Here is a 21117-nt window from a genome sequence, read left to right on the forward strand (position 1 = left end):
GAGGTCACAAGTTCAAGACCAGCCTGGCCAACATGGTAAAATCCTGTCTCTGCTAAAAATACAAAAATTAGCCAGTCGTGGTGGTGGGTGCCTGTAATCCCAGCTACTCGGGAGGCTGAGGCAGGAGAATCACTTGGGCCGAGGAGGCAGAAGTTGCAGTGAGCCCAAATTGCGCCACTGCACTCCAGTACGGGTGACGAGTGAAACTGTCTCAAAAAAAAAAAAAAAAAAAGAAGAAGAAGAAGAAGAAAGGAAATAAAAAACAGATACAGCCTCATCCTAAACTAACATGTAATGGAGCAGTAGTAATTAAAACAATCTTATCCATACAATTGAACAATATGCACCAATAAAAGGAATGGAATAGGACCACAGTTCCCAAATTTTGTGCCACAGGCACCAGGACATGGCAGTGAATTTACAGGAGTGCTATGGGATACTTTTTTTTTTTTGAGACAGAGTCTCAGTCTGTCACCCAGGCTGGACTGCAGTAGCACAATCTTGGCTTACTACAACCTCTGCCTCCTGGGTTCAAGTGATTCTCCTGCCTCAGCCTTCTGAGTAGCTGGGATTACAGGAGCGCACCACCACGCCAGCTAATTTTTGTATTTTTAGTAGAGACAGGGTTGCACCATGTTGGCTGGGCTAGTCTCGAACTCCTGATATCAAGTGATTTGCCCACCTCGGCCTCCCAGAGTGCTGGGATTACAGGCACGAGCCACGGTGCCTGGCCATTTTACGTTTTTAAAATAAACATTGTGACACTTGACATCTGTTAGGCATTGTGCAAACTACTGTCAAGGTAGTTGATAGTTCATACATTAGACTATCCTACATTCTATTCCATGATGTTATAACCTTGCACGCATGGGGTTTTCAGTGATTGATGTGACAAAAACAAAAATCAAACAGGAAATACGGGTAGTAGTATATTTTATTAGGGATATTAATTACATATGTAAAACCCCTTCACCTTTGCCACATTCTATTGGTTACAAGCAAGTTCCAGGTTCTACCCACACAAAAACATGGATACCAGGGAGCAGAATCAGGAGGGGTATCTTAGAATTCTGTCTACCACAATATACAGAGTGCAGAACCTACTGGTGACTGAAAATCTGTGAAACACAGCTTTAACCAACCAACTCTCTCTAGACTGTTTCTTCTATTCATTCATTCATTCATTCATTCATTCATTCATCTATCCATTCATTCATCTGACTTATGTAAGGAACTTACAGCCAGGCACATAGTAAACTGATCATAAGTGTCGACTACCATTATTTTTATTTTTTTATGTTTTAAACAACAACTGAAGATCGTATATGCTCAATGCTAGGTAGCGGAAGGGAATACAAAGGAAAATAAGACTGATCTCTGTTTAAATTCTGGGAATGAAGGTGGAGGACAGCCACATAAATAAGCGATAACAATTCAATGGACTATGCAATATTACAACTCTGCACCATGTAAGATGGGTGTTCAAAGAAGGAATGCCAATTCTGCACTACGTCAGTGGTGCCTTTATAGAGCAGAAGACAATTTAGTGGCATCTTGAAGATACTGTAGTTTGGCTGATAGTCAAGGAAGGAGATGTTTCAAACCTAAGAACAACATGAAAAATGACCACAGTGTGAAAAAGCAAAATTCAGCCCAGTTTAAGCTTTTCCCTTTATTCACACAGAATTTGAAAATATTTCTACTTCATTGTATTATACCACGTAACTGTTTGCAACATTTTGTACTCATTATTTTTCATCAACTCACATGCTCTTTGAAGAAGTTTTAAAAATATACAGATCAACTATACTTGGTATTTAATAAGTAATTAATGAATGGGGAGATGGATTTGGGATTGAATTGGGAATAATACCATAAGCCACACTAAGAGGTCTGGAATTAATATATTTGTGAAAGGTAGCTGTGAGGTAATGTTAAGAACAAAGACCGTAGAGTCAAACTACCTGGCTCTGCCAAATTACTGATCTTGGGCAAATTATTTAACCTCTCTATGCTCTGGTTTTTGCATTTGTAAAATTGGAATGAAAATAATGGCTGCTTCAAAAGGGTTGATGCAAAGATTAAATTAAATAATATAAAGTACTTAGAAGAATATCTGGCATATATTATATGTTCAATAAATGTTTAAAATGATGATAATATGATGAATTGATAGTGTCAGATAACAAACAAGAAATCATGTGTTTAGAAGTAAGATCATTTGACTAAGGTTTTTTTTTTTTTTTTGCAGTTTTTACATTTTTATTTAAACACAAAACATGCATATGAGCTGTCTACTCATTTTCTTTGCTGTGCAGCCTGGCATTGGGGTTGGTGACTCTGATGGCCAGCTGGGCAGCTCTTTCCACCAAGGCTTTGCATTTCTTGGAGGAAACTGTGAGCGATCTCAGCACAGTAAGATTTGTTGCACATCAGCAGCACTTCCAGCTCCTTGGTGTTGTGGACCAGGAACTTCCAGAAACCACTGGGCAGCATGTGCTTTGTTTTTTTGTTGTTCCCATAACCAATGTTGGGCATCAAGATCTGGCCCTTGAACCTTCTATGAACCCTGTTGTCAGCACCTCTGGGTTTCTGCCAGTTAGGCTTAATTTTGACATATCGGTCAGACTGGTGCCAGATGAACTTCTTGGTTCTCTTTTTGAGGATCTTGGGCTTCATAAGGGGTCTGAGGGCAGCCATGATTCCGAGGAGGAGATGACTGCCACCTCCGTAGGTAGTGCCCAGGTTGGGGTTTTTAAAAATTAATTAACTTATTTATTTTGAGACAAGGTTATGAGACTATTTTTTTTGGTTTTTTTTTGAGATGGAGCCTCACTCTGTCACCCAGGCTGGAGTCCAGTAGCACAACCTCGGCTCACTGCAACCTCTGTCTCCCAGGTTCAAGCAATTCTCCTGTCTTGGCCTCCCGAGTAGCTGAGATTACAGGCACCCACCACCATGCCCAGCTAATTTTTTTTGTATTTTTAGTAGAGATGGGGTTTCACTATGTTGGCCAGGCTGGTTTCGAACTCCTGACCTCAAGTGATCTGCCGGCCTTGGCCTCCCACAGTGCTAGGATTATAGGCATGAGCCACTGCGACCAGCTGAGACTTTCTAACTTTTGTACTTTTGTAGAGACGGGGTTTCGCCATGTTGCCCAGGCTGGTCTCGAACTCCTGGCCTCAAATGATCCATCCACCTTGGCCTCCCAAAGTGCCCAGGTTACATGTATGAGCCACCAAACCTGGCCTAAGGTTGGCTTTTAAAAAGAGAATTCTTATCAGTAGAGAGGGATAAAGACTGAAAAATCACAATGGAGAAGGCAGAAACCAGTTAAAGAGCTACTGCAAGCATAGAGAAGAGATGAGTAGAAACTGAAGGAATACAATGAGAGTGTAGATAAAGAGATAAAATTGAGATATTTAAAATGTCGAAGTAATGAGGCCTACTAGGTAGAGATGTGATAAGAAATGAGGAGAGATTCATAGGTAAATTTAAGTTTTTACTTAAAGAAAACCTTATGAACAATTGGGTACATAATGATGCCATTAGTTAACATAGAACATAGAGGAAGATCCCTTTATCTGTGGAGGGAGATAAGTTCTTTTTGGAAAAAATTGTATTTGAGGTGTCTTCAAAACTTGCAATGAAGATTTTAGAGAAGATTAAATTTTGGGAGTCTGTAGTGAATGTTCAGCATTTAAGACTGTCGGATATAAAAATGCTCTAGAAATAAATGCTCGGTGCCACAAAGTGAAACCAGCACTCAGGCAAAAGTTTTCTCAGCAAGGCAATTTACTTCTGCAGAAGGGTGCCACTCACATCAATCAAGATAGCAAGAGCACATGGAACAAAGGAGAGCAGGGGGTTTTTATCTCTGACGTGTAGTCCTTACCTCTGTGTCACTCCCCAATGGGCTGGGGTCAGACCACACAATCTGAACTGACCTAATTGGCTACTTTCAAATATCTTTCTAAATATGGAAGGGAAGGGGGATGTGAGGTACAGTGGTAAAGCATGTGAGACGTGCAGTTTTGGGCAAACAATGGGTGCAGGTAACCAAGGAAACAGATGTGAGTTATTGATTAGAGCTGACGAGAAGGGGGTAGGCTGTTTAGAGTAACTAGGGGCGAGGAGGCAGGTAGAACAAGAAAGTTAGGTTTGGGAACAAAGAACCAGGAAGTTAGCAGGCTAAACCTTTGAGGAGAAACTTTATTGTATCCTACAAGATCAGGAAAACATGAGATTTTTTAGGGAAAGTTTATATGAGGAGAAACTATAAAAGAGTAAATGCAATTTATAGGAGGACTATTTTGAAAAAAAATAAAAAGAGGCTACATGGTGTAAATTACAGAGCACAGGAGACTATATTATTGTATTAATATAGACTATTGCATGTAAGAATATTAATAAAAGATGGAAGGCAACAGGCATGGTGGCTCATGCCTGTAATCCCAGCACTTTGGGAGGCTGAGGTGGGTGGATCACTTGAGGTCAAGAGTTCAAGACCAGCCTGCCCAACATGGAGAAACCCCACCTCTACTAAAAATACAAAAATTAGCAGAGTGTGGTGGCAGGTGCCTTGCAGTCCCAGCTACTCCAGAGGCTGAGGCAGGAGAATTGCTTGAACCCAGAAGGCAGAGGTTGCAGTGAGTGGAGAGTGTGCCACTGCACTCCAGCCTGGGTGACAGAGCAAGACTCAGTCTCAAAAAAAAAAAAAAAGAAAAGAAAAGAAAAAAAAAGATGGAAGGCAAAGTAACTGATTAATGTAGACTAGATATAAACTCCCCTGGAGCAAAGATGCAAAGATTTCTGTTTTGGCATGACATTATCTTGCCCAGTACTTCATTCATTATAAGTTCTAAGTAGGCCGGGCGCGGTGGCTCACGCCTGTAATCCCAGCACTTTGGGAGGCCGAGACGGGCGGATCACGAGGTCAGGAGATCGAGACCATCCTGGCTAACACGGTGAAACCCCGTCTCTACTAAAAATACAAAAATTAGCCGGGCATGGTGGCGCGCGCCTGTAGTCCCAGCTACACGGGAGGCTGAGGCAGGAGAATGGCATGAACCCGGGAGGCGGAGCTTGCAGTGAGTCGAGATCGTGCCACTGCACTCCAGCCTGGGCGACAGGGCGAAACTCCATCTCAAAAAAAAAAAAAAAAAAAGTTCTAAGTAAATATAGATGAATACATGAGATATGAATGATAAAAATAAATAGACCAGGTGCAGTGGCTCACGCCTGTAATATCAGCATTTAGGGAGACAAAGGTGGGAGGATAGCTTGAGCCTAGGAGTTCGAGACTTGCCTGGGCAATATAGTGATACCCCCATTCTCCAGAAAAATTAAAAATAAAAAACCATGAATAGATATACCTAATCTATGTAACAACATGGAAAATGCTTAATAATACGTGTACAAAAAATAAAGCAGAATATAAGTTGATCCTCTGGTGTGTACTGGAGTTTGAAAAAAAAAAGCTGATCAGCAGTATGATTATAATTTTGTAAAATTTATATGTGCAAATAGATAAGAAGTCAAGGCTTAAATGAAAATAGTTTGTTAGGGTGATTAAAATACTGCTCCCCCAACTTTGGAAGGCTGAGGCAGGCAGATCACAAGGTCACGAGATCGAGACCATCCTGGCTAACATGGTGAAAACCCATCTCTACTAAAAATACAAAAAATTAGCTGGGCATTGTGGCAGGCGCCTGTAGTCCCAGCTACTTAGGAGGCTGAGGCAGGAGAATGGCGTGAATCCGGGAGGCGGAGCTTGCAGTGAGCCGAGATTGCGCCACTGCACTCCAGCCTGGGTGACAGTGCGAGACTCTATCTCAAAAAAAAATACTGCTCCCCCTCAACCCCAACCACTTATTTGGAATTCCATTCATAATGTAATTTAATAAGAAAGAGAACTGTTAAAACATTTTTAAAATTTTATTTATTTACTTTAGAGACAGGGTCTTGCTCTGTTGCCTGGGCTGAAGTACAGTGGCATGATCATAGCTCACTGCAACCTTGAACTCCAGGTCTCAAGTGATCTTCCTGCCTCAGCCTCCTGAGTAGCTGGGATGACAAGCACATGCCACCACACCTGACTAATTTTTTAAGAAATTTTTTGTAGAGATGGTGTCTTGCCATGTTGCCCAAGTTGGTATTGAAATGTTTTTGACCAGAAGGCAGGATCACTGACCTCTATAGCAGGCTTGAGTCTATTGTGGTTACCTTAGGCTAGCCAATTCACCTCTTTGAGGTAGTGCCATTATGCCAAAACATGAAAAAGATGATTTCAGATATAACCAGGTGGAATGGAGACAGTAATAAAGGGGACAGTATTCTAGTAAGAATATGAAGGCTCCCAAGGAGCAAGATGACCGAAGCATAGAGTATAAGCGAGACATGGCAAGAGTTGAGCTCGGCCTAGAGACTCCTGGCAAACAATAAAGGGATTTATGTTTTATCCTCTGTCGTTTCAGCTATTTGGGTGGCTGAGATGGGAGAATCACTTGAGCCCAGGAGTTTGTATTTAGCCTAAGCAACAGAGTAAGACCCTTTCTAAAAAAAAGAAAAAGGAAAAAAAATGTTATTCTAAGGACAATGGGAATCCATTACAGGTAGAATAAAGCAAGCTGTGGCTCTTAGAAGACCAGAAGATCATGTGAGGAAGCATAAGGTTTTATCAAAACTTAGAGTTTACTCGAGAGGCTGAGGTGGGAGGATGACTTGAGCCCAGGAGGTCTCGGCTGCAGTGAGCCTTGATTGAGCCACTGCACTCCAACCTGGCTGACAGAGACCCTATCTCAAATTGTTTTTTAAAAAAGCAAAAACAAAAACACTTAGAGACTATCACAGGATAGCTGTTCACCTGACTTCCCTGGTCAGGTAAACTTAGGAAAATTCTCAACTTCTTCGGGAATGAGGACTTGAAAATATATTATCACAAATTCATAATCTGGGGGCTGTGATCAGTCTCCTAAAAACTTGCTCACCTCCACATTACCCTGAATATTTTCCAGAATTTGCATGGAAAATTATGGGCCTCCTTATTTTTTAATTCCTTGCTTTCAGTTCTTTCTTAATGTTATTGTTATGAAACAATACTCGCTTTTTAAAATAAAATTTTTACTATGGAATAATTTTAAATTTACAGAAAAGATTCAAGTGTAGTACAGAGTTCCCACATACATTCCAACTAGTTTCCCCTAATGTTGGCATCTTATATTACCATAGTACATTTGTCAAAACCAAAAAACTAATATTAGTATATTGCTATTAACTAAATTCCAGACTTTACTAAAATTTCACTAGTTTTTTCCCACTAATTTTTTTTACTAACACTTGGTGCCAGGATCCAATCCTGGATAGCAAATGGCATATATTGTCATGTCTCTTTCATCTCCTCTGGTCTGTGACAGTTTTCACTTGTTTTTCATGACACTTCATCAGTTTGAAGAAGTCAGTTATTTTGTAGAATGTCCCTCAGTCTGTTTTTGTCTGATAGTTTTCTTGTGATTAGACTGGAATTAAAGATTTTGGAGAAGAATACCACAGAGGGGAAGTGCCCTTCTCACCACATCCTATCACAGACGGGATGCCATCAACATGATTTGCCCCTGGTGATGTTAGCTTTGATCACTTGGTTGAGAAATCTGTTCTTCAGATTTCTCCACTGCAATTGTTTCTTTTTTTTCTTTTTTTTTTTTTTTTGAGACAGAGTCTTGCTCTGTCACCCAGTGTGGAGTGCGGTGGTGCAATCTTGGCTCACTGCAACCTCCACCTCCTGGGGTCAAATAAGTCTTGTGCATCAGCCTCCCAAGTAACTGGGACTACAGGTGCCTGCCACCATGCCTGGCTAATTTTTTTGTGTGTTTTCAGTAGAGACAGGGTTTCACCATGTTGGCCAGGCTGGTCTTTAACTCCTGACCTCAAGTGATCCGCCTGCCTCAGCATCCCAAAGTGCTGGGATTACAGGCATAAGCCACTGCACCTGGCCCAATTGTTTCTTATACATACTTTATTCTTTTGACATCACTAAGTTCAACCCACACTCAAGGTGAGGAGGAGTAAAGAGGGGAAAGAGTGAATAAGTTCCATCTTCAGGAGCGGGGGTTATCTGCATATATTATTTGGAATGCTTCAGTAAGAAAAATTTGTCCCTTTATTCCCATTTATATGTTTATTTACTCATTTATATCAGTCTAGATGCCTTGTTGTTCACTGTATGAGTATAACCCAATACTACTTTTGTTTTATTTAATTAATTTATTTATTTATTTATTTTTGAGATGGAGTTTTGCTCTTTTTACCCAGGCTGGAATGCAATCGTGTGATCTCGGCTCACTGCAACCTCCACCTCCCGGGTTCAAGCAATTCTCCTGCCTCAGCCTCCCAAGTAGCTGGGATTATAGGCACCCACTACCACATCTGGCTAATTTTTTGTATTTTTAGTAGAGATGGGGTTTCACTATGTTGGCCAGGCTGGTCTCGAACTCCTGACCTCAGGTGATCCACCTGCCTCGGCCTCCCAAAGTGCTGGGATTACAGGCATGAGCCACTGCACCCAGCCTTATTTTATTTTTGTCACAGAGTCTTGTTCTGTTGCCCAGGCTAGAGTGCAGGGGTGCAATCTCAGCTCACTGCAATTTACATCTCCTCTACTCAAGCGATCCTCCCACCTCAACCTCAACACCAGCTAATTTTTGTATTTTTTGTAGAGATGGCATTTCACTACATTGCCCAGGCTGGTCTGGAATGTGCAGGCTCCAGTGATTCACCCGCCTCAGCCTCCCAAAGTGCTGGGATTACAGGTGTGAGCCACTGAGCCTGCTCTACTTTATTTTTTTGCTCAGATTACCCAGCTTTGGCCATTGAGAGCTCTTTCAGGTTGGGTCCTGTGGTCTTTGATGTACTCCCATCCTTTAATTTTCTGAGTACTTCCTTGCTTTCTATAAGCCTCTGTAAGCATCTGGAAGAAGCTTATGGCTCATTTAATAGTTTCTCTGGTCCAGCCCTAGAATAATTTATTTCTCCAAATATTCTTTTTCATTAACAATTTGTCCCAGCTAGGCACGGTGGCTCATGCCTGTAATCCCAATGAGACAGCCAGGTGGAAGAGGGTCCCTGGAGAAACTCCAACCAGCCTGCCCACTGAGGTGGAGCCTCGGGAAGTTCATGATGTTTGTAGCAGGGAGGAGCCTGGCTCCTCCTCTTCCTGTATGGAACCTGAGATTCAAGCTGCAGGTGGGAAGCACTCTATCAGGGACTCTGTCCTAGCAAGAGTCCCTGTTTCCCCCCCTTTTCTTCCTTTTCACCCAATAAAACCCTGCTTTACTCACCCTTCAAACTGTCTGCAAGCCTAAATTTTTGTGGCCATGGGATGAACAAGGACCCCATCTTTAGCTGAATGAAGGAAAAGTCCTGCAACATTTTTTGGCACCCAATGTGGGGCCTCAAAAAGCAGTAAGTGAAATGGGGACTCAAAACCTCTCACTGTTGCTTCTAAGCCTTTTCATCCTTGGACTTCTGAGGGTGGGAGAAACCATGTCCCCACCCCCCATCACTCCTGGGCCTTTTCATGGCTTTTTCCTTCCTTTTTCAGTACTGACCGGCGAGCAGCAGCTCCCCATGACTCTCCTCTCCTTGCTGGGGCTGGGATGCATGGCCCAAGGGTCCAGCACAGCCAGGTGGCTGGCATTTTCTGCCACGTGCCACTGGAGACTTCCCTTTCCCCAGCCAGGGGGCTCTACTCCATTGGACAGTAATTAAGCTTTTCTCCTGTTGGAGGAACCAGTTGTATAAGAATAAGAGGTTATTTCTCAGGCATGTTTAAACCTTTTTTTTTCCCTCTTCTCCACCCATCAGCAGTTAACCTTTAAATTTTTTCCCCCATTTAAGAAGATGGTTTTATTAGGCCAGGACCCAACTCTCACTGTATTCTTTGCAAAGTTTTGGTTGTGAAATCAAGCCTCCATCTTATTTTATATCCTGAGGGCAAGGCTTGTAACTCCGGTGGCAAGGCTTTGTTTAGCAATCCTGACTTAGGGAATAAGTTTCTTTCTGGTTTGATATCTGCATGTTTTCCTAGCCCTGTTTCTTAAAGGGTGACACCCAATGACTGGGTTTTCTCCTGCCTCTCAGTGTGTATGTTGTGCATAATGTCTGCAAAAAGAGCGTTAATTAATTTGGCCTAAAGGAAGACAAGGGCTTGGATCAAATACTTTTTAAAGGGAAGATAAATGCTGTGGTACCTTTTAGTTCACATGACTTTAATCTTTGAGAAATAAAAACAGTCCTAAAGACTATTGGTAAAATGCAGGTCAGACGCAAGGTTTGCATCTGTTTTAAGGTTACAAACTGCCACTGCACTCCAGCCTGGGTGACTGAGCGAGATTCCATCTCAAAAAAATAAAATAACAAGATTTTCCTAAGGTGATAATCTGCTCTTTGGCAAAATTTGTAAAGGGTTATAAAAGACTTTTGCTTCTTTGAAATTTCTAAGTCACGATTTTGGCAAAATAAATAACTTATGGTAATTTGGAATTCTTTTTTTATTTCCTTTGAGACAGAGTTTTGCTCTGCCGCCCAGGCTGGAGTGCAGTGGTGCAATCTCAGCTCACTGCAACCTCTGCCTCCCTGGCTCAAGTGATTCTCCTGCCTCAGCCTCCTTTGTAGCTGAGACTACAGGCATGTGCCACCACACCCGGCTAATTTTTGTATTTTTAGTAGAGACAGTGTTTCACCATGTTGGCCAGGCAGGTCTCAAACTCCTGACCTCAGATGATCCACCCATCTTGGCCTCCCCAAGTGCTGGAATTACAGGTGTGAGCCACCATGCCCAGCCCAGAAATCTGGAATTATATTTCATAATATCAAGTGTTTTAAACCTCAAACATTTAACAGCCTTCCCAAAATCAAACTTCAGTTTCAAAATTGTCTTTCCTGGCACCTGCCTTTTCGAATACTTTAGAGGGCCCCTGAAATGTCCAGAAAAGAGAGGTAAATGGGATTATGTGACAAGTTTAGGTACATGGAATTGCCAAAATATGCTCAATCTTGTTTAGGTTGTATCTTGGTGAATGATGCTAATACATGTTCCAAATTGTATGGAATTTCTAAAATTCTAATGTCTGAATATATGCTATCAATCGTAGTTAAGGTTTTTATGTTAAGTTATTGTAAACCATGGAGATAACCAAACTTCTTTGTCAATCATGTTTCTAACTGACTACCCTGGACATTTTGCTATTCACAGATAATTGTTGTCTTGTTTTAATCCTTTTCAAAGATGGTTTATAATGAGCTATATAACTTTTTTTTTTTTTTTTAGTAGAGACAGGGTTTCACCATGTTGGCCAGGCTGGTCTTGAACTCCCAACCTCAGGTAATTTGTCTGCCTCGGCCTCCCAAAGTGTTAGGATTACAGGCATGAGCCACCACGCCCGGCTGTGATGAGCTATAGAACTTTAACAGGTGCTCGCAAATATAGGCTTCTCATAACTTTAGAGATTGTAACATTGGAATAAAGGAAAATGTACAGGACTCATAAAGCTGAAATGCTCGTGAATATCAAGCAAAACAAGAGTTAACTAAATGGACAGAACTCAGCTGAAGCAACCTTTTTGAAATTTGCTTGGAATATTGCTGATCCTTGTTTTGTTTTTCAGAGTCAAGGAAACTTTTTTTTTTTTTGAGATGGAGTTTTGCTCTTGTCAGCCAGGCTGGAGTGCAATGGCGCTATCTCGGCTCACTGCAACCTCCGCTTCCTGGGTTCAAATGATTCTCCTGCCTCAGCCTCCTAAGTAGCTGGGATTACAGGTACTCACCACCATGCCTTGCTGATTTTTTGTATTTTTAGTAGAGACGAGGTTTCACCATGTTGGTCAGGCTGGTCTTGAACTCCTGACCTCAGGTGATCTGCCCACCTTGGCCTCCCAAAGTGCTGGGATTACAGGAGTGAACCACTGCACCCAAGCCATTCTGAACTATTTAAGGCCTTTAATAATTGAGTAAAGTATGCTCCTATGAACAAAATTTGGAGTATGTTTGTTTTTCTCTACCTGGTTCCTCTAAAATTTGGAAACTATCTGTGAGCATTCATATGGCAATATAGTGCACTAAGAATCAGTGCACTAAGAATCCATTTTCTTTTGCAAAAGAACCCAATTGGAGAAACTGGTTATTTTACCACTGGAAGGACATGCTTTCCTTTAAGGAGTCAATCTCAACTTGCAGAGCCAATAAAAGCCCAGTGGGGAAACTGGCCTCATACCCTTGCCTACACAGTCCCTGTACAGGATTCCTGACCTGTGGTCAGTAAAGAATGTCACTTTCTAACAGGTCTAGAAACTCCAAGTTTATCTTGAGACCTTAAGAGGAGAGAATCACCCAACTCACAGGTGTTTGAGGATACAAACCCATGGTTGGGCTCAGCTTTAAAATGTCTTATCTTAGATCCGTTGGGGAACAGAGTTCCATCAAAGCCAATCCAAAAGGCCTATGTAGAAGTAATTATTCTTGCTGCACTTTATGCAAATAATCAGGCCAAGTATAAGATTAAAATATATTGGGCCAGGCACGGTGGCTCACGCCTGTAACCCCAGTGCTTTGGGAGGCCGAGGCAGGCCGATCAGGAGGTCAGGAGTTCGAGACCAGCCTGGCCAGCATGGTGAAACCCCGTCTCTACTAAAAATACAAAAAAAAAAACTAGTCAGGCATGGTGGCACACACCTGTAGTCCCCGCCACTTGGGAGGCTGAGGCAGGAGAATTGTTTGAACCTGGCAGGCGGAGGTTGCAGTGAGCTGAGATTGCGCCACTGCACTCCAGGCTGGGCGACAAAGCAAGACTCCATCTCAAAAAAAAAAAAAAATTATTAAAATCTATTTTGCAAACCATTCAGTCCTATCGTAATTTTTTTTATTTTTAACAAAAATGAGGACTGGAGAGAGAGAAATTATGTTCCCAAACTTATCATACATTTGTCACTAAATTCTAAACTCACTAGCTGTTTTTAAGTTTTTGCCTACATGTTAGACTAGCCCTGCTTGTTCCTGTGAACCAACCAGCAATCTCTAGCTCTAACTCAGAAAAGACAAGAGGGATGGTAATGTAGAAATCCAGATCAATATTCTGGTTCTGGGCAATTATCCTACAAATCCTGCCAGATCGTGATGGGGATAAACAGGATGTCCATCACTTGGAGGTTTCCTTTTTGGGAAAGTAAAACCAAGGGAGCTAACAAAAGCCAGGAACCATGCACCCAAATCCTAACAAGCATAACTATAGCTACCAGTTATCTGGGTGTGTCACAAGACATCCTTTTCTCTCCCTTGTTGGAGGAGGACTTCAATTCCACAGTTTCACCTTAGCGTTCGGCTTATGATAAGGAGTCTATGCACCGCCCCCTCGTGACACATTTTTGTCCCAGACTCAACTTCAAGCTTCAAGTCAAAGCCGTGGGAAAGAAAACTGGATCTAAGGGATCCAGAGGCAGATGACAACAGAGGTTAAAAGGCACAGCGCAGGTGAGCGTGGCTGATTCCTGCCGATTAAGCCAAGTCCAAGCTTCCTATTTCATGGATAAAGGCCATGTTAATATCCATGATGTAAATTAGGTCTAGGCAACTCCAAGGCTACTGACAGCAGGGGAGACAGGGTATATGTGGATAACAGCAGATGATTCTTGCCCCCTAGATGCCCCCTGCTTCATGGGTGGAAGTCGCTTTGACACCCATGGCGGCACCTGCCAAGGTCGCAGGGACTCGGGGATGCAAGGACGGAAGATGGAAATAAGATGCTCCTCACATACCCTGGGTATCTGCTAGGAAGAGAAGGGAACCAGGGAAACCTGCTTCCCTCTTTCTAGATGGGTAGCCATTCATCTTCAGTCTGTACCCCATTCAAATGCATACTGAACCTCTGGGACTCCTTTAAAAATGCCTTCTTTTTCCTTTCTCCTCCTCTGTTCTCTCTTCACTAATAGGTAATTGTGTTTTCGTACTACACTCCCCTGAGATGCATCCTCCAACCTGAAAGAGTTAATTTGCCAAGCTTTAAACTGGTTGTCTTAGGATTGGACTTAGGGGAAGGGAACCCAGAAGCCCAACATGCCAGCAAAAGGGTAAATTTTTTTTTCCAGTTGGGCTTTTGGCCTCCCTCTCCCTGTGCAAACTGGTAAAAGGCCTAAGGATTTTTGAGCTGTCCTTACCCCTACCCTTGTTTCGTTTCGATACATGTTTTCTAATAACCTGGTTTGTCTGTTCTTGCCTTCAGGCCATCAAATTCCAAACAGTCATGCAACTGGAGCTTCTGACAATGGCCTCTTCTGCCAGGAACCCTTAAATAGGCCTCTGAGGGAGCTCTGACTGCTATTTCCCCCAAAACAGCACCCCCTGTCAGCAGGGAGCAGTTAAGATTGGTCTTCGTCCTTATCCTTAATCTAAGAGCAGTTAGATGTACCTTTTTTTTTTTTTTTTTTTGAGATGGAGTTTCGCTCTTGTTGCCCAGACTGGAGTGCAATTCATTGCATGGTCTTAGCTCACTGCAACCTCCACCTCCCGGGTTCAAGTGATTCTCCTGCCTCAGCCACCTGAATAGCTGGGATTACAGGCATGTGCCACCATGCCCAGCTAATTTTGTATTTTTAGTAGAGACAGGCTTTCTCCATGTTGGTCAGCCTGGTCTTGAACTCCTGACCTCAGGTGATCTGCCCGCCTCAGCCTCCCAAAGTGCTGGGATTACAGGCGTGAGTCACCGCACTCGGCCAGATGTACTTCTTTAGAGAGGGGAATGAGACAGCCAGGTGGGAGGGGGTCCTCAGAGAAACTCCAGCCAGTCTGCCCACTGACATGGAGACTTGGGAAGTTCACTTTGCAGCAGGGAGGAGACTGGCCCCTCCTCTTCCTGTGTGGAAAGTGGGATTCGAATAGCGTGTGGGAAGTGCTCTGACGGGGACTCTGACCTAGCGAGAGTCCCTGTTTCCCCCTTTTCTTCCTTTTCATCCAATAAAACCCTGCTTTACTCACCCTTCAAACCATCTGTGAGCCTAAATTTTTGCAGCTGTGGGACAGACAAGGACCCCATCTTTAGCTGAACTAAGGAAAAGTCCTACAACACCAGCACTTTGGGAGGCCAAGGCAGGCGGATCACCTGAGCTCAGGAGTTCAAGACTACCCTGGAAAACATGGCAAAACCCTGTCTCCACTAAAAATACAAAAATCAGCCAGGCGTGGTGGCACGGGCTTCTAATCCCGACTCTCAGGAGGCTGAGGCAGGAGAATCACTTGAACCTGGGAGGCGGAGGTTGCAGTGACTGCACTCTAGCCCAGGCAACTTAGCGAGACTCTGTCTCAGAAACAAACAAGAAACCCAGTTTATCAGATTTAGCCAGTGGGAACGTCTCCAAACTGGCTGGTGGGTTCTTATAACACGGTCCATCAGTATTTGAGCTATACGTATATTGTGGCACAGCAGCATGTACTAGGTTCATCTCATACTCTCCTTCCCCTGACATGGAATCAGCCATTTCTCCTGGAAGCCCTGGTTCCTATTATTCGGGAACTGCGTTTAAAAACTAAAGTCTGAATGATGGGTATACGTCTCCTTCTTTAAAAATATAAAATGTTTTATCAAAGACATTTTTAATGAACTAAAAAGGTAAGACTTTAGAATTTCTAATGAACTAAAAAGATATGACTTCAGAATTTTATTCATAGGCGTAAAATATGAGCTAGGATGCCATGGACTTCAAAAAGTACTTTTTTTGATTTTGGTGGTCTTGAAAGCATTGGAAACTAGGAGTTATTTTATTGTAAACATAGACTTGACCTTAGACTTTTATGAATATGATAACTTATTACTGTAGTGAAGACTTTGAAAAACATACCCAAGGCCAGGTGCAGTGGCACATGCCTGTAATCCCAGCACTTTGGGAGGCCAAGTCAGGGGGATCACGGGGTCAGGAGTTCAAGACCAGCTTAGCCAACATGGTGAAACCCTATCTCTACCAAAAATACAAAAAATTAGCTGGGCATGGTGGCAGGTGCCTATAATTCTAGCTACTTGGGAGACTGAGGCAGGAGAATCGCTTGAACCCGGGAGGTTGCAGTAAGCCAAGACTGCGCCACTGCACTCCAGCCTGGGCAACAGAGAGAGACTCCATCACAAAAAAACAAACAAACAAAAAAAGAAAAACATACGCAATTAATCATTTTTAATCATCTTTATCCTTCTATAACTGTTCATTTTATTTTCTCTTTCCATAATTGTGCATTTTATTATTTTTAATCTTCCATAACTGTTACCTTAAGTGCATTTATTTATTTTTAAGTTTTTTTTTCTTTAAATCAATGTTACTGTGCTCTTATTTAAAAGGAGGGGACCACCATTAGCTTCAAACAGCACTAGGCCAATGTTTCTCAAACATTTAAGTAAGCCTTTATTAGTGGAAAGTTCTCTGGTCTATTCATTAGTATTTTATTTCAACTTTTAAAATGTTGATAATATCCACTGAATTGATTTCATGATCCAATAATGAATCGGGATTAGCCGTCTCTATTAAAAATACAAAAAAATTAGCTGGGCGTGGTGGCATGCGCCTGTAGTCCCAGCTATTCAGGAGGCTGAGGCGGGAGAATGGCATGAGCCCAGGAGGCGGAGCTTGCAGTGAGCCGAGATTGTGCCACTGCACTCCAGCCTGGACGACAGAATGAGACTCGTTTAAAAAACAAACAAACAAACAAACAAAACACTAAGTAAGGCTGTGCGAGGTGGCTCACGCCTGTAATCCCAGCACTTTGGGAGGCCAAGGTGGGCGGATCATCTGAGGTCAGGAGTTCAAGACCAGCCTGGATAACATGGTGAAACCCCATTTCTACTAAAAATACAAAAAATTAGCCAGACGTGGTGGCACACACCTGTAATCCCAGCTACTCGGGAGGCTGAGGCAGGAGAATCGCTTGAACCCGGGAGGCAGAGATTGCAGTGAGCCAAGATCGCACCATTGCACTCCAGCTTGGGCAACAAGAGTGAAACTCTGTCTCAAAAAAAAAAAAAAATCACTAAGTATTTATAATGATTTCAGATAAATGAGTCTTGCACTTAAAATACTGAATCTAGCAGTAATAGACTTCTAGAGTTTAATAATAATAATTTAAGTGCTTATTACATGCCAGACACTGTGTAGTCAGCACCTTTACATATATTTCTTCACTTGATCTTATTAGCCCATTGAGGTAAACATTATTCTACATTTTAAAAAGAGAGAAGTAAAGCTCAGAGATGTTAACCAACTCACTAAAGACCATATAGCAAATAAAGGATTCTAATTCTAAAGTTCATGCCCTTAACCGCAACATCACAATATCTCAGCACTATTAGCAATTTAATTAAGGTGGAATGAGCATAAGAGTTACATTGTAAGAGTTGCCTAAAAAGCATAGTAAAGGAAAGCAGCTTAAGAGTTGAAAAATGGCATGATAGCATAGGCCTGAAATATGATCCTAAAGTTAAGAACCATGTCTTGTCTATTGACTTTCAGAACATTCTATTTTTCTCGGTCACTACTGGTGCTACCAGACCTCAGACCCTCAGTTCTGCATTAATGCATCTCAGTCCTGGATTGTCTACAGAGCAGAAAGGATACTCTTTCTTCTGAAGAAAATTGTATTTCTTCTTTTTAGCTTTGATCTTTGTCAAAAATTCTACCTATTTAAAGAATCAGGCTGCTTTGGGCACACTGCCTGTGGGGTAGCCCTGCTCCAAAAGGAGCGGTTAAAAAGAAGGAAAGGGGCCAGGTACATTGGCTCATGCCTGTAATCCCAGCACTTTGGGAGGCCGAGGTGGGTGAATCACCTGAAGTCAGGAGTTCGAGACCAGCCTGACCAATGTGGTGAAACCCCATCTCTACTAAAAGTACAAAATTAGCTGGCTTGGTGGTGGGCGCCTGTAATCCCAGGAGGCTGGGGCAGGACAGCCTGTAATCCCAGCTACTCAGGAGGCTGAGGCAGGAGAATCGCTTGAACCTGGGAGGCGGAGGTTACAGTGAACCGAGATTGCGCCACTATACTCCAGCCTGGGCGACAAGAGCGAGACTCCATCTCAAAAAAAGGAAAAAGGGCCAGGCGCAGTGGCTTAAGCCTATAATCCCAGGACTTTGGGAGGCCAAGGCAGGCAGATCACTTGAGGTCAGGAGTTCAAGACCAGTCTGGCCAACATGGTGAACCCCCATCTCTATTAAAAATACAAAATTTAGCTAGGCATGGTGGCAGGCACATGTAATCCCAGCTACTTGGGAGGCTGAGGCAGGAGAATGACTTGCACCCAAGAGGTGGAGGTTGTAGTGAGCAGTCTGGGTGACAGAGTGAGACTCCGTCAAGAAAGAAAGAAAAAAGAAAGAGAGACAGAGAGAACAGAGAGAGAGAGAGAAAGGAAGGAAGGAAGGAAAGGAGGGAGGGAGGGATGGAGGGAGGGAGAATCAATTAGTTCTCAAAAAATTTTAGAAAAACTTCAATGTCTCACTACTCTCCAAAATTATTTTCCTTTTCCCAGAGACAACTGCGTTTAACTTTTTAGCTTATTATTTGGTGTCTTCCATATCTCTAAAAAATACGTGGTCATTTATCTATTGCCCATATATTATGGGCATTGTGGAAGATGAGACCTCAGCTCTCTTCCCTTTATTTCCCACATTACACATGCACAAGTACCACTGCTCTTTCTTCAACTTACTCATGTTGGAATTCAGTTGGATCAATTTTATATGTATTTTCATAATATTTATACATTCAGAGCTGAGCCATGAGATAAATGAGGACTACTTTTCTGGAATGACTTTATTTCTTCCTAATGTTGTTAATTATCTTTTTAAAACTTGCTTAATGTTCTAACTACCTAGTCATAATTCAGTCCCAACAGTCCATTAACCATCTAAATATCTGCTCAAGAAGTTCATTCACAGGAAGCATTCTATCAGATTAATCCTGAAAAAGTCTCTCTCAAAGATGTTTTTACTTCCTAAAAACTGGGCTGGAGGCTAGGTGCGGTGGTTCATGCCTGTAATCTCAGCACTTTGGAAGGCCGAGGCAGGCGGGCAGATCACCTGAGGTCAGGAGCTGAGGCAGGAGAATCCCTTGAATCAGGAGGCAGAGGTTGAAGTGAGCCAAGATTGCTCCACTGGACTCCAGTCTAGGTTATTTTTAAAACAAAAAACAAAAGAACAACAACAAAAAACTGGGCTGGTTACACTCTTTTGTGTTGATGTTATTACACGCTTTTTAAAAAATATATTTTTTTTAGTTTTTCAGATAGCCATTTCTGGGTGCAAGTGCTGGTTAAACTATTTTTTCTTTCCTTTTTTTTTTTTCTGTTGGACACCATTGACTAGACGGTTACGCTCCTAATACAACTGTTATGCTGACATCTTCCTTCATCAACATCTGGGGATTCACTTTTCACCTCTCCTCTGTGTTAGAATCCTTTGTTGACCACTCAACTTTCTTTTTTTCCTTTGGAATAACCATAATCTTCAGCTGCTTCCTCAGAAAAAAAGTTGAGTAAGTAAATTTTTTACATTTTTTAATGTCTTCTTTTCTTTTTTTTTTTTTTTTGAGACAGAGTCTTCTGTGTTGATCAGACTGGAGTGCAGTAGTGTGATCTCGGCTCACTGCAACCTCCACCTCCTGGGTTCAAGTGATTCTCGTGCCTCAGCCTCCTGAGTAGCTGGAATTACAGGCATGTGCCACCATGCCCAGCTAATTTTTTTTTTCTTTTTTTTTTTTTTGAGACGGAGTCTCACTCTGACGCCCAGGCTTGAGTGCAGTGGCACAGTCTCGGCTCACTGCACCCTCCATCTCCCAGGTTCAAGCGATTCTCCTGCCTCAGGCTCCCAAGTAGCTGGGATTACAGGCGCATGCCACCGTGTCTGGCTAATTTTTGTATTTTTAGTAGAGACAGGGTTTCACCATGTTGGCCAGGCTGGTCTCAAACTCCTGATCTCGTGATCCACCCGCCTGGGCTTCCCAAAGTGCTGGGATTACAGGAGTGAGCCACCGCACCAGACGTTTTTTTTTTTTTCTGAGACAGAGTCTCGCTCTGTCGCCAGGCTGGAGTGCAGTGGCATGATCTCGGCTCACTGCACCCTTTACCTCCTGGGTTCAAGCGATTCTCCTGCCTCAGACTCCTGAGTAGCGGGGGCTACAGGCACACAACACCACGCCCAGATAATTTTTGTATTTTTACTAAAGATGGGGTTTCACCATGTTGGCCAGGATGGTCTCCATCTCTTGACCTCGTGATCTGCCTGCCTCAGCCTCCAGAAGTGCTGAGATTACAGTCATGAGCTGCCACGCCCAGCCTTATTTTAATTAGAGAAGGGTTTTTGCCATGTTGGCCAGGCTGGTCTTGAATTCCTGAGCTCTAGTGATCTGTCTGCCTTGGCCTCCCAAAGTGCTGGGATTACAGGTGTGAGCCACGGCACCCAGCCTTAAAGTATTTTCATTTTACTGTTACAGCTGATGATAGTTTGGCTGGCTATAAAATTCTAATTTTAAAATAATATTCCTTCAGAATTTTGGAAGGCATTGCTCAAGTATCTTATTTCCATTGTTGCTATTTAAAAGTCTAAAGTGATTTCAATCCTCCATCTTTTGTATGGGAACATTCTTTTATTTCTAGAAGCTTGTAATATCTTATTTTCTTCTCAGGCATCCTTGAATTTCTTGATGTGCTTTGGTGTGGGTGTGTTTATGTGTGGGGCACTAGATGGGGTCTTTCAATGTGGCACTACGTGTCCTTCTCTGGGAAATTTCCTGAATTATTTCATGTACAATTTTTCCTCCTCCTTTTTCTCCATTCTCTCTTTTTAGAATGCTTACTATTTGGAAATTGTATCACTTAGACTGATATTCTTATTTTCTTATATTTTCTAGTGTCCATATGTTAATCTCTTTGCTCCATTTTCTAGAACATTTTCTCAACTTTATCTTTCAACTCCTTTATTGAGTTTTTTGCTTTTGCTGACATACTGTTAATTTCCAGAAGCTCTTTTTAATTTTCTAAAATAAATAAATATATAATGTATGCACAATAGCATATATACATCATAGATTTTATATATATAAATA

At 42.3% G+C, this 21117-nt stretch overlaps 1 long non-coding RNA gene and 1 pseudogene across 1 annotated transcript; both read right to left on the reverse strand.

The window, feature by feature from the left end:
- Nucleotides 1-1268: 1268 nt before the first annotated feature.
- Nucleotides 1269-9765, reverse strand: LOC124909466 (uncharacterized). The gene is made up of 2 exons (XR_007096187.1): nucleotides 9606-9765; nucleotides 1269-1604 (listed from the first exon to the last, which is right to left on the reverse strand). It is a non-coding gene; the product is annotated as an uncharacterized LOC124909466 (long non-coding RNA).
- Nucleotides 2248-2746, reverse strand: RPL32P10 (ribosomal protein L32 pseudogene 10; annotated as a pseudogene).
- Nucleotides 9766-21117: the final 11352 nt, after the last annotated feature.

This window comes from Homo sapiens, chromosome 3 (assembly GCF_000001405.40).
Source record: "Homo sapiens chromosome 3, GRCh38.p14 Primary Assembly".
Lineage (NCBI taxonomy): Eukaryota > Metazoa > Chordata > Mammalia > Primates > Hominidae > Homo > Homo sapiens.